The 12,828-nt window shown below is 39.5% G+C and overlaps 1 protein-coding gene across 2 annotated transcripts in view; it reads right to left on the bottom strand.

Moving 5' to 3' along the window:
• The window catches only part of OGT (O-linked N-acetylglucosamine (GlcNAc) transferase), a 42,789-nt gene that overhangs the window by 25,633 nt on the left and 4,328 nt on the right, over positions 1-12,828 (bottom strand). For both annotated transcript variants that reach the window (NM_181672.3, NM_181673.3), the window contains exons 3-5: positions 12,188-12,431; positions 5,625-5,693; positions 2,237-2,353 (exon numbers count right to left, since the gene is read on the bottom strand). In NM_181672.3, the coding sequence (NP_858058.1) occupies positions 2,237-2,353; positions 5,625-5,693; positions 12,188-12,431 (430 nt within the window). The remainder of the gene's footprint in view (positions 1-2,236; positions 2,354-5,624; positions 5,694-12,187; positions 12,432-12,828) is intronic.

The following is a 12,828-nucleotide window of genomic DNA, read 5'->3' as shown; positions in this document are numbered from 1 at the left end:
AAGGACGAATAATAACAAGTGTTAGTGAGGATGTAAAGAAAGGGAAGCCTTGTAACTGATGGGGGAAGTATAAATTGGCACAGCCATTTTGGGAACTAGTATAGAGGTTCCTCAAAAACTTTATTCTTCTCTTTTTAACCAGTTTTCCAAATTAATTGTTCCTTGTAAGTCTTCCAAAGATGACCAATGAATTTTTTAGCATAATTATAAGCTCATAGATTTAAACATACTTGATAAGTTTTAGTATATTTCAGTTATTATTCCTATTGATGCTCAAGTCTGCATCTTTAGCCAGTGGGAGCCTCCTCAAGTTGCTTCCTGAGTCCTTTTGATGCAAAGTAATATGTCAAAGCTTCCTTGCTTTCTGGTATGACAAGACATTCCAAAAATTTTTTTTAAATTCCTGCCCCAGACCTGGAATCTGCCTTTTCACCAAGAAGCCCTGCTTCTTTAAAGCCCATTTATAAAAATCATTTTTAATTACTAAAGTACATTTTTTTTGAGACAGGGTCTCACACCATCACCCAGGCTGGAGTGCAGTTGCATGATCACAGCTCACTGCAGACTCAAACTCCCATCTCAGCCTCCCCAGTAGCTGTGTGTGTGTCACCACGCATAGCTACTTTTTGTATTTTTTGTAGAGACAGGGTCTTACTATGTTGCCCAGGCTGGTCTCAAACTACTAGGCTCAAGCAATCCTCCCACCTCAGCCTCGCAAAGTGCTGGATTACAGGTGTGAGCCACAGCACGCAGCCTAAAGTACATTTTCAACACAAAATTGGAAACTGCCATACCATGTACTATCCAGCAAATGCTGCAATAAAGATGTTTCTCAACTTAGGATGGGGTTATGTCCCGATACACCCATCATAAGTTGAAAATATCTTAAGTCAAAATGCATCTGTAACACTTAGTGAACATCCTAGCTTAGCCTAATTTTTTTTTTTTTTTTTTTTTTTTTTTTGAGACAGGGCCTCACTTTGTCACCCAGGCTGGAGTGCAGTGGTGCAATCTTGGTTCACTGCAACCTCCAGCTCCCAGGCCCAAGCAATCCTCCCACCTCAGCCCTACAAATGGCTGGGACTACAGGAGCACACTGCCACACCCAGCTCATTTTTGTAGAGACAGGGTCTCGTTATGTTGTCCAGGCTGGTTTTCAACTCCTAAGCTCAAGCAATCTGCCCGCCTCGGCCTCCCAAAGCACTGGGATCACAGATGTGAGCTATCACACCTGGCCCGGCTAGTCTCATTTTAAACATGCTCAGAACACATTAGCCTACGTTTAGGTAAAATTACCTAATACAAAGCCCTTTTTTAAAACTTTAATATGAGTTTTATTTTAATTCCAACATTTATTTTAGGTTTGGGGTACACATGCAGGTTTGTTAAATGGGTAAATTGTGTCACAGCAATTTGGTATACAAATGATTTTGTCACTCAGGTAGTGAACATAGTACCTGGTAAGTAGTTTTTGTACCCTCACACTCCTCCCACCCTCCACCCTCAAGTAAGCCCCACTGTCTATTGTTCCCCTTTGTGTCCATGTGTACCCAATGCTTAGCTCCCACTTGTGAGAACATGCAATATTTGGTTTTCTGTTCCTGCATTAATTCACTTAAGATAATAAACTCCAGCTGCATCCATGTTGCTGCAAAGGACATGATTTCATTTTTGATGGCTACATGGTATTCCATGGCATATATGTACATTTTCTTTAGCCCACCGTTGATGGGCATCTAGGTTGATTCCATGTCTTTGCTATTGTGAAGTGATGAACATACGCATGCATGTGTCTTTATGGTACCTTTTTATTTTTTAATCTTAGAGACAGGGTCTCACTCTGTCACTCAGGCTAAGTACAGTGGCATGGTCACAGCTCACTGCAGCCTCAAACTCCTGGGCTCAAGTGATCCTCCTGCCTCAGCCTCCTTCTTATTTTATAATAGTGTGTTGGGCATCTCATGTAATTTACTGAATCTTGTACTGAAAGGGAAAACCAGAATGGCTGCATGGGTACTCGAAGTATGATTTCTATTGAATATGTATGTCTTTTGCACCATTGTCAAGTTGAAAAAATATTTAAGTCAAATCATTGTTCTCTGTAAGTCACATACTGCCTATACCGCCAGAGAAACAAAGATATAATGTCACTGGCTAAGACCTATTATTTAGTTCTAGTAAAAACACTACATGCGTAAGCACTTCAAAAATACCAATTATTAATTTAATGACTAACCTTTTCAAAGTGATGAATTGCAAGCCAAATTTCCCCTTGTGCATTGAAAACACAGCCAAGATTACTCCAAGCTACTGCAAAGTTCGGTTGCGTCTCAATTGCTTTCAAATAACATGCCTTAGGAGGGGTTAATGAAAGAAGATGGGAGGGAAAGGAGGTAAAGGGAAAGGGGAAAATTTGTAAAGGGAAAAAAAAAAGATTGGGGGGAGGGGGGGAAGAAGGTGATATCATTATTCCTTCTCTGACCAGCCAAAAGTGACCCTGCAGCATAGGCTCGCTTGCGCCAAAACTAATGCGCTGCCACAGCTGGCTGCTCCTGCGCCTGCGCCACCAGAACCCAAGTGCAAACCACCATGTTCAGTTCTGCCAACCAAAGACCAACCCTTACACTGGGACTTAACTGGGAAGTCAGTTGCTATAAGGCTCTATGCTGGAGTTCTCTTATCCAAACAACTACGGGCCCTTGTCATGTTTTCAAGTGCTACCTAGAGGGCGCAACTTGAGGCCGAGTTTTCCTACCCCCACTGTTTCCCAAAGTGTGTTCTATGAGGTGTTAAGAGGTATGGCTGAAAAAAAAAGGAGTTCATGATCAAATAAATTCGGAAAATAGGTTTCTTTACTGGACTTCCCTAAGCCTTTAATAGTGTAACAGGGTTCCCTGAACTTAGTTGACCATGGAACTCTTCTTTCATTGGGCATTTTATTAGAATACTATGAAACACATTTTGGGAAATGCTGCTCTTCAACAATGTTCCTCACTAACATCAAAACTATGCTACTGAGGAGAAAAATGTCTTTCTGCCAAGTAGGATATCATAAAGCCAGGCTTTAAGTTACATTCTCACAATGCCCCGTCTCCCAAGGAGGACTGAAGCTGAAACCTCACATGACAGGATTGCACCTAGGTTGAGGTCCCTGTAATGCGAGCGCAAACATCGCTTGCGCAACCTAACAGCATCGCACTGCGCAATCGCTGCGAACTGCTGCGCTACATAGAACACCCCTAGACGCAGCAAACGGCCAACCAGATCCATTAATCTACTAGACAGGCCCATGGAGAATATTTGTTTAATGAGATTAGTTGGACTCGAGGTATGTTAAAACCCAATTTTATCCAAAAAGGCTACAGAATAGGACTGAGGGAGCCAGTCAATCAGATTACTCATCTAGTCAACCGTTCACAGGGGTTCATTCGCACGCAATGCGCATTAACGCTGCGCAGCCTTTGCGCTACTGCAGGGTCACAGCGCATCATCAGAAGAGCAGAATGCTGCAATCCAAACAAAGAAGAAAAAAGGAAAAAAAATGAACAACAAGAAGAGTTAGAAGCTTTTACTAAGTAAATTATCTCTAATAATTTTTAATATCAATTAACTTTTACTTATCTTTGACAGAATTGTGGCTATAGTATAAAACATTCTCTTACATAACTTGCTTGTAAATAAAATTATTTTAAGCTGTTTCTGAAGCCACAAGACAGAAGATTCAGGCATGGAGGCAAATTGTTTTGCTGTGGCAGTTACAAACCCGTTACCATATTTCTCATCATGTGACTTTTCGGTGCGTTCCTTGCTGGAAGAGGAGGAGGAGGTTGTGTGTCTGCCCTAGATCCAGGCCTCGAGCTCCCTTCAGCGAGGCACCTTACGCATGGAATAGGAGGTTTCACCCACCTGAAACCTTCTAAATACAATATCAATGGTGAAAAACCAAAAACAAGAGAGAAAATAAAAACAAGATCATTAGTAAAAGTTCAACAAAGCAATTGAAATTCTTTGGATGTCTATTACATATGGGAATGAGGACAGTCTCAAGTCTGTAATATGGGAAACATGCAGAAGGGAGAGGGTTAATCAGGGCTATTGCATACAGCAGGGATTTTTGCTGGAAGAAAGGCTCTTCATTTTCTACAAAGACAACTTAATTTTGCTTCCATCTACTAGGAATATGCTGGCTTGAATTTTCAAATGCACTGATTACAAAAGAAATACATTGCATTTCACTCAAGAGTATTTTCTTGTTTACTAAGTTCTCACAAAAAAACAGAATAACATTTTTCAAACTAGGTGTCTCCAGAGCTCTGAAATAAAGAAGTCAGCAACCTAAGGCAGGCGCAATGTCTCAGCCTAAACCGATCTCTAAAGCTGCAGTGAAGTGCAATTCATGTTAGCTGTCCGCTTGGTGGGGTGACAATTAATAGGAGCTTATCAAATATTTGTTCTATAAATTACCAATTAGATTTATCAGCTAAGATTGAAATCAATTACAATTCATTAGCTGGCAACCTACATAAGGTTAATCCAAAATGTCAGCAGAATTTATGAGCTGTGCACTTAAAACTAGTGCCTTTTAAAACATTAGATGGTGCTGAAAAGCCTTCTCCCTCCCTGGATGAAGCAGTCAAACAGACAGCTACTCTGCGCATACACTCCACGCATTAGCATGCGCGTGGGGCTCAGAGCAACAGGTGGGAGTTTCAGAAGCATTCTGGTTTCTCCCCACTCCTCACCCCTGCAGCGCGGTTGCGTAAGGTGGCTTGTAACAAGACAACTGCATTTATAAATTTAATTTTAAATTATACCAAAAGCTTTAATTAACCCAACCTGGTGTTCAAATTCATTATTTGGAAACACAGAATGCTAAAAGCCACCTTTCCACTTTGGCAAGTTTTCTTTCGATCAGTCCATTTCCCAAACAAACCAGCTTTGTCCTTCTGACCTTTTTTTTAAGGGGTTGGGGTGGGGAGGAATAAAAGAAGGAAATGAGGAAGAAAAGAAGGTAGACAACTAGGATTGGAAAAGAGGAAAAAGGAACTTGGGAAGGGAGTGGGGACAAGGGACAGGATGTTCCAATTATTAATTTGTAATCATTTTAACAGCCTTTCTTCCACTGTAAAAAGGGTGAGGAAGATGAAGGGAGGAAGGTTAAATAAGAATTTTAAATGCCAGTATTACAGGGTAACATTTGGATGAAATTCTTCTCCACTTACAAGCCACAAAGGACTTAGAAGAGCAGCATTTTCAATGGCACCTGCATCATATAGGAGTCTTGAGCCAAATCACAGGCGCTCTGCTTGTCACCAGCAGGCAAGCCTCAGATTTGAAGGAATGTTATTTATTCCCACATAAGATCATGACGGAGCCCAGTGTTATAAAGATGGTCTAGCTCAGCAGAAAGGCTCCAAAATGTTCAGGTTCTTGCTTTACCCCCAGATTTAGAACAGATATGCCAAAGCCTGGCCCTGCTCTATTCTGAGGCGATTCGTGCCGTCAGTTTTCCTCAGTTTCAAAGGACTGTTTTGTGAAGATAGCTCAATGAAGAGTTGAAGACTTGGCAAAAAGTACAAGTTTTCATAATACTGATGTTTAAATGTGTTCTATCAAACACCTACCTTGGCTTCTTCCAAGCGACCCAGGGCTTTGAGCAGGTTCCCCAGGTCACTGCGAACACAGTACAAATCCTAGAAACCCAGAGACGCTGTCATTAATTATACTCTGCTTTGTCAATTAAAAATATCTTGAAATCACTTTTAAGCATCTAGCTCCCTGCCATTTTATTCTATCAACTAAAGATACTGCCTGACAAACTTCAGTGCAGGACCACAACCCCTCATCCACAATTCCAAATCCCAAAAAGTTCCAAAAACTCATTTGAGGGTTAAACCTGACTTGAGGTGACATGAAACTATTTATAGAATTTAATTATCTCACTTAGTATGAATACTGTCTTTTGCTGCAGAAATATAAATGTGTTTTACTAAAAGGTGCTGCTCCAGACTTTTCTGGGTGTTTTATATATGGTATTATCTTTCTAATATCCTAAAAATTCTGAATGTTGAAATGCATTTGGCCCCATTAGCTTCACATAAAATACTATGGGACCTTACTAGAGCTTCTTTCTCTCCTCCCCAAATGTCAGTCACATTAAAAATATATATATCAGGCCGGGCGTGGTGGCTCATGCCTGTAATCCCCACACTTTGGGAGGGCGAGGTGGGAGGATCACCTGAGGTCAGGAGTTCGAGATCAACCTGGCCAACATGGCGAAACCCCATCTCTACTAAAAATATGAAATTAGCTGGGCATGGTGGCGTGTGCCTGTAATCCCAGCTATTTGGGAGGCTTAAGCAGGAGAATCGGTTGAACCCAGGAGGCAGTGACTGCAGTTAGCCGAGATCGTGCCACTGCACTCCAGCCTGGGCGACAGAGACTCTTGTCTCAAAAAAAAAAGGAAATATATATATATATATATATATATATACACACACACACACACACACACACACACACACATCTCAAATATTTGTCCAACTATGTTATTCAAGGTTATGATGAATCACTTCTGTATCAAGGACCGAAAATTTTCCAGAGTGGAAAAAAACATATTTAGCAAATGACTACCTATGAGCAAACCTACCCTTAGGCTGTCAGGCATATTTAGAAACTCTGACTTCATTTCACTATCGGGCAGAAGAATTATCCAACCAAAGCCTCAATCCTGGCACCTGCCACTAGATTACTCATTAGTATTAAGTGCCATTAGAGTTGAGTGGGTGAATAATGAAAAGCAGTTGACTCTGCTTTTTATTAGCAGCTCAATTGTGCTGCTAGTCATCTGACTCATCAGTCCATTCATCTGGATGAGACACTCATCACAACAGTGAGCTTAAATTTTTATTTGCCCTATTTTGCCATTGTCAGTCACATCTACCAGTCAACAGGCAGAAACAATGACAACAGGAAGTATGCTTATTATTCCAAACTGTTCCATGGGTGAAAGAGACTTAAGTCCTAGAAAGTGAAATTTTGTCAACTGTGCCGAAAAATCATCATATATATGATTTGCTCTGGAACTATATTATGGTTTCCAAAATCACTTAATTCTACTGATAAACAGCTTTTGTGGTTGTATAGTATCATCCATCAGGTGAACCAAAAAGTCTGCCAACAAAGTACAGGCTGCCACACAACAATCTTACGGTCAGCCATACTGGGTCAGTTCCATCATCTCCCTGACTCAATACTGTCCTTCAAGCAATGACTGATGTTCTAGAGAGTAAGGTTGTCTCCCATCACTTCAAGCACAAAAGGCTAATACTAATCCTCAAAACATCAAAGGTACCATTAATCTTATTTGACTTCTCCTCTAATTAGCCTGAGCACTTTTTAACACTATACTCTCAGAAGTAATGAATTATATAATCTTGCTATCTACTTTGTATGGTTATGTTTTTTTCTAAACTGAAAGGGTTACCCCTGTTTTGGCAGACCATGACTGCATAATCCAATCCATGCATACAAGCTCCTTCTACTACTTGATAATTGTGGTTATACATGTTTGGACTTTTACCAATTCCTATGCCTTTTCTAAGTCATAATAATCAGAAGTCTTGCAATAATTCTCCAACAATGACTGTAATGGCCATACATAGTAGCCAGCTGTTGCGTAATTTTATTACCCTCTAGTTTCTATGAACTCTTGGATGGATGCCACTTAAGTCCTGACAGCATATCTATATTTTGTTATCATCTAGATCCATTACAGTATACTATATCAAGTTAACACAATGCTCATAGTTAAAAATACATTATCTTCAAGATTACTATAAGATAATCAATAAGGCAGTTTTAGGAAAAGCTAAAACATCATATTAAATGTAACGGTGAAATCCAATTCTCCTGTTTGGGGATCCAAACCTATGTGCATGAACAGCTAATTTCTAGAAAACGCACGGGCACCACCATTCTCCCAAAAGTTCAAAACCCAAGACATCACTTCTGCTTCATCTGTCAAATCAAAATGTTTTTGACAATTATATTTCTCAAAACTAGCCCATTTTATCCATCCCAGGTTAATACATTTCAGGCAAACTGTTACTCAATTCAATAACATGCCTGGAACTATAGGGAAAAGATATAGAATCCTTATCATCAAGGGGCTTACAATCTATGTGAAAAGACAAGGCACACACTAAATGCCCACTCAGTAGTAAAGAATTTTAAGAGAACTAGATGATGAGCTCATAAGAGAAGTTTAAGCTGGGCCTTGAAGGATGAGTAGGGTTTTAATAGACAAAGGAGGAGGGCACTGTATACAAGGGAAAATCGTGAGAATAAAAGGAGATAGAAATGAGCAAGATTTTCCTGTAGAACTATTTCTCCTAAGATTGCATCAGTTTCCTGCCTTTCCTCCTAGAGCCTCCCACCCCCACCAGCCACAACATCTAGACACGTACATACATATGAAGTAAAATCAGGTCGATAAAAACCTACAGTAATTCTCAATTGCCTCTCAAATTAAATTCAAACTCCTCAGCCTCTCTATTCTTTATAAATCTTCCAATTGACTCTCCTCTACTACATTCACTTCTTGTTACTACTTGACTCACCACTTCAGCCAAGGAAGTCTACTTGCTATTTACCTTCCTACAGAATGCTTAGGTCATAAGCACCCACTCGAGGAAATCTTCTGATTAATACTCTCCAACAATTATCATCCAAGGAACTTACACCATTTTTTCCTTTACGGGTCAGGTCCTGTCTTATATTATAACCCGCAACTTCCCCCACAACACATCTCCCCATTTCCTAACAAAGCATTGTATGCACAATAAGCACTCACATATTTAAATGTGACATTTGCACAGCAACCTTAACAAAAAGCAGAACAGAGAAGAATCGAAATATACAACAGAAAGCAGAACAGAGAAGAATCGAAATATATGGTTTTCTACAGTGCAGCTGTATAAGAGAGGCTCAGCAGTAACAAGTAACAAATAACATGACAGGAACACACATGATGGCCAGGATGCCAGCAGCTCTCCATTCTGTGCATCCACAATCAAAGCACAAGCAACAATTCAACAACCTATAGATTCAGAAACAGACCTGTTTAAAACAACTCAGGGTTATAGCCGTTACAGAAAGGACAATTTTATACATAATTTGCAAAAGGAATTGCCAGGTATAGGCAACTCTAGTGAGTCACCATGTCAAAGAACATGTGCTGTCACTGCAAGGTGCTATCTGCAATAACACCTTCAAATACAACAGACTGCCAGGCACAGTGGTTCACGCCTGTAATCCCAGCACTTTGGGAGGCTGAAGCAGGCGGATCTGTTGAGGCCAGGAGTTCAAGACAAGCCTGGCCAACATGGTGAAAGCCTGTTTTTGTAAAAATACAAAAAATTAGCCAGGCATGGTGGTGGGCACCTGTGATCCCAGCTACTTCGGAGGCTGAGGCAGAAGAATCGTTTGAACCCAGGAGGCAGAGGTTGCAGTGAGCCGAGATCGCGCCACTGCACTCCAGCCTGGGTGACAAGGGCAAAACTCCGTCTCCAAAAAAAAAAAAAAAATGACAGACTAAAATCTTACCAAAATTATGAAAACACCCAACATTATAATTATAGAAGATAATTCAGAATGAAAAAAATGAGATAGCTGTCTCAAAGATAATTTCTATAATCAAGTCACAGAGAACAACTTCTAAATTGACATATCTATTAACTTAAAAAGATAAACACTGTTGAAAACAGTTACCAAGGTTACCAAAGATACCACCTTAACATTCTACTCTTTCACTGCTGCAAAACCAAAATAACCTGAGTTTCTTTAACCATTTTTCATAGAATGCCAACTACATCTATGATTCAGGTACACAATGTACTAATGATGCATTTAAGCACTGTCAACAAGAACATAAGGAACAGACGCAAGGTTCTACCAGTACTGAACTGACAACGGGCATTTGACAGTAAGTTTAAATCTAGTTAAGACTTTAGATATCCTGAAATAAATTAAAATATGATCACTATGGCATGTTTAGTTGAAATCAAGGGAACTTGCACAATCCCATTTTCATTCTTATTGGTAAAAACAGTAATAAATAAGTAAAGCAGCACCTTCCACTAGAAGAAACATAGAACCAGATGACAACACATGGCCATTCAATGCATTCAAGAGGTAATCCCATGATTTATTTTAGTACTATCTCACTTCCTTGGTAGGGTACAACAATAAGCTTCCTGCTAACAGCAGGTTAGATATTAAATAGCAAGGTTCCATCTCTCACTTTAGTTTTCCTTCTCAGCATAGTCCTACTGCTTGGGTACACTATCAGTAGCAATGACTGCTCTGCTACACACATAGGCAACTGGAAACCTGAGCCAAGGGCATTAGAGTTAAAGATGGCAAGAACCACAGCTGTGTAAGAGGGTACACTATCAATAAGAGTAGAATCAACCTGATTAATAAAGGTAAAGAACTTACTGTGACAACTGGGTACAGAGGTGAGCCCTGAGCCCTGGGAAAAATGGGGTCCAAGGCCCAGTGGCAGTACATACCAGGCTCCCTAAAACTTTATGTGGGTAACTAGCTAGATTAGTATTGCAATAAAACTTACAAAAAGTCACTCAAATGTACATATATATACACTGAGTGTCTCAGAAAAGATAGACAAGAAATTAGTTTCATTTGCTACCTCCAAGAGTGCTAACTGGAGGTATTCACTGTATCCATTCAAAAACCAATAAATTTAGAAGCTGGGTGTGGTGGCACACACCTATAGTCCCAGCTACTCTGGAGGCTGAGGCAGGAGGACTGCTTGAGCCCAGGAGTATGAGTACAGCCTGGGCAACATAGCAAGACTCCATCTCTTAAAAAAAAATGTTTTTTAAAGCAATGGATTTTCTAAAAAGGACACGTTTAAACTCTCAAAATTAACTACAAAAATTGTTAATAGATATCATCATGAGAAGTGACTTCGGATCTTTGAACAAACTACTAAATTTAGTTTCAGTTTCCTAACCAAAAAATAAGGGACAGCAAAATATGATCAATGGTTTTTTAACTGTGCTCAAGGGCTGCTTTGATGGGTGAGTGCCCTCTGGGCACATCATCCCACTTTTATTTCTTTTCACTTCAACATTTGCTTTGAGGATATTCAGACTCAGGTTTTAATATCTATTAATACTTCATTACTAGCTTTGTCCCCATGAAAGCCACATAACCCTGAGTCCATGGTTTTTTTTTAATTGATAAAAATCAGAAATAATATCATCTATTTTGAAGAATTATTGTGAGGATTAACTAAGACCAATCATTTAAAGCTGTCAGTAGAGTGTCTGACCACACAGACTTTCAGTAAACGGTAGCTAAAATAAACTATTAGCCATTTCCAGGTTGGTTACAAAACTGAATGTTGACAATGTAACTTGGGAACTTTTTCTAGATTTCTATAACCCCACTATCATTTACCTCTTAAGTTTACATCTACTTTCTCTAACTACATCATAAGTTCTGAGGGAAAGTCTTATGTTTTTGTATCTTTCGGAGATCCTAAACACAGTATGAATTTAAGGTCTGCCAGCTGAGCCTTACTTGTTCCCAGAACACATCTGCAACTTAGACAAAAAAAATTTTTAAACTAATCAAAAGCCCAGTATAAGTAGTATCATCTAAATTCTATGACTTCTAATTACATTGAAAGAGAAGAGAATAGGATATTGAGGAAGAAATTTTGTAGCCTAATTTTCACATCATTCCATATAGTGGCATCTTGTTTCAAACTATTTTATATTACAGATTTTACAGATTAAGACCCATTATCCACCATTCCTTGAAAATCAATTAACTTGCAAACACTTATCAGAATTTATCCAAAGTTAATCACAACAGAAAAAAGTCATGTGCTCTGTACTTTATACGTGTTATTTTAAAATTGATGTAGTTTCTTGCAATAAGAATTTTTATGCTTTTTAATATAACTTGCTAAATAAAACAAATATTTTAGCATAACGCAGACCAGCTAAAAGCAATTTCACCATTTTAAGTACATACGCATTTCTAAACTTTTGACTTTATTCCATGTGAAAACCTACTTTAGTGTCTGAAATATCACACTATGTTTCTTTCTGGGTTTCTAGGAAGGGAAAGTAACCATTAAAATTTTACTCACAGGATTGTACTGAAGAGCAGAGACGTAAGCTTGTACTGCCCCTTCCATGTCACCCGCTGCTACCAAGGCGGCTGCCAGGTTAATATAACCATCGATGAAATCAGGTTTGAGACGCAATGCATGTCGATAATGCTCAATTGCCTCCTGCAACTGCCCTCTTTCCTTGTACACATTCCCCAAATTCGAATAAGCTTCTGCCAGAAGGGGGTTCTGTTTAATTGCCAGAGTGCTAAAGTGAGCAGATCTGGAAAAGGCGACAAGTGTTAATGCATGGGTATGCACGTTACAGAAAAGAAGGTATGGCCCATATGCAACTCAAACAGTTTGAGATCTGTGCTATTGCTCATTATATAATACCTTATCTTTTAACTAGTGCATAGCAAGAAAAATTTGGGAAATCAAAGATTTTCAAAAGTGGAGGTATTCTAGATTTCAAAATGAAAAGCTTTTTCTTATTAAATAAAATTATTGGCTGGGCGCAGTGGCTCACGCCTGTAATCCCAGCACTTTGGGAGGCTGAGGCGGGAGGATCACCTGAGGTCAGGTGTTCGAGACCAGCCTGGCCAATATGGTGAAACCCCGTCTCCACTAAAAATACAAAAATTTAGCCACGCATGATGGCAGGCGCCTGTAATCTCAAC

Source organism: Homo sapiens, chromosome X (genome assembly GCF_000001405.40).
Source record: "Homo sapiens chromosome X, GRCh38.p14 Primary Assembly".
NCBI lineage: Eukaryota > Metazoa > Chordata > Mammalia > Primates > Hominidae > Homo > Homo sapiens.
Note: the sequence above shows the minus strand (reverse complement) of the source record. Positions and strands in the feature narration are given on the sequence as shown.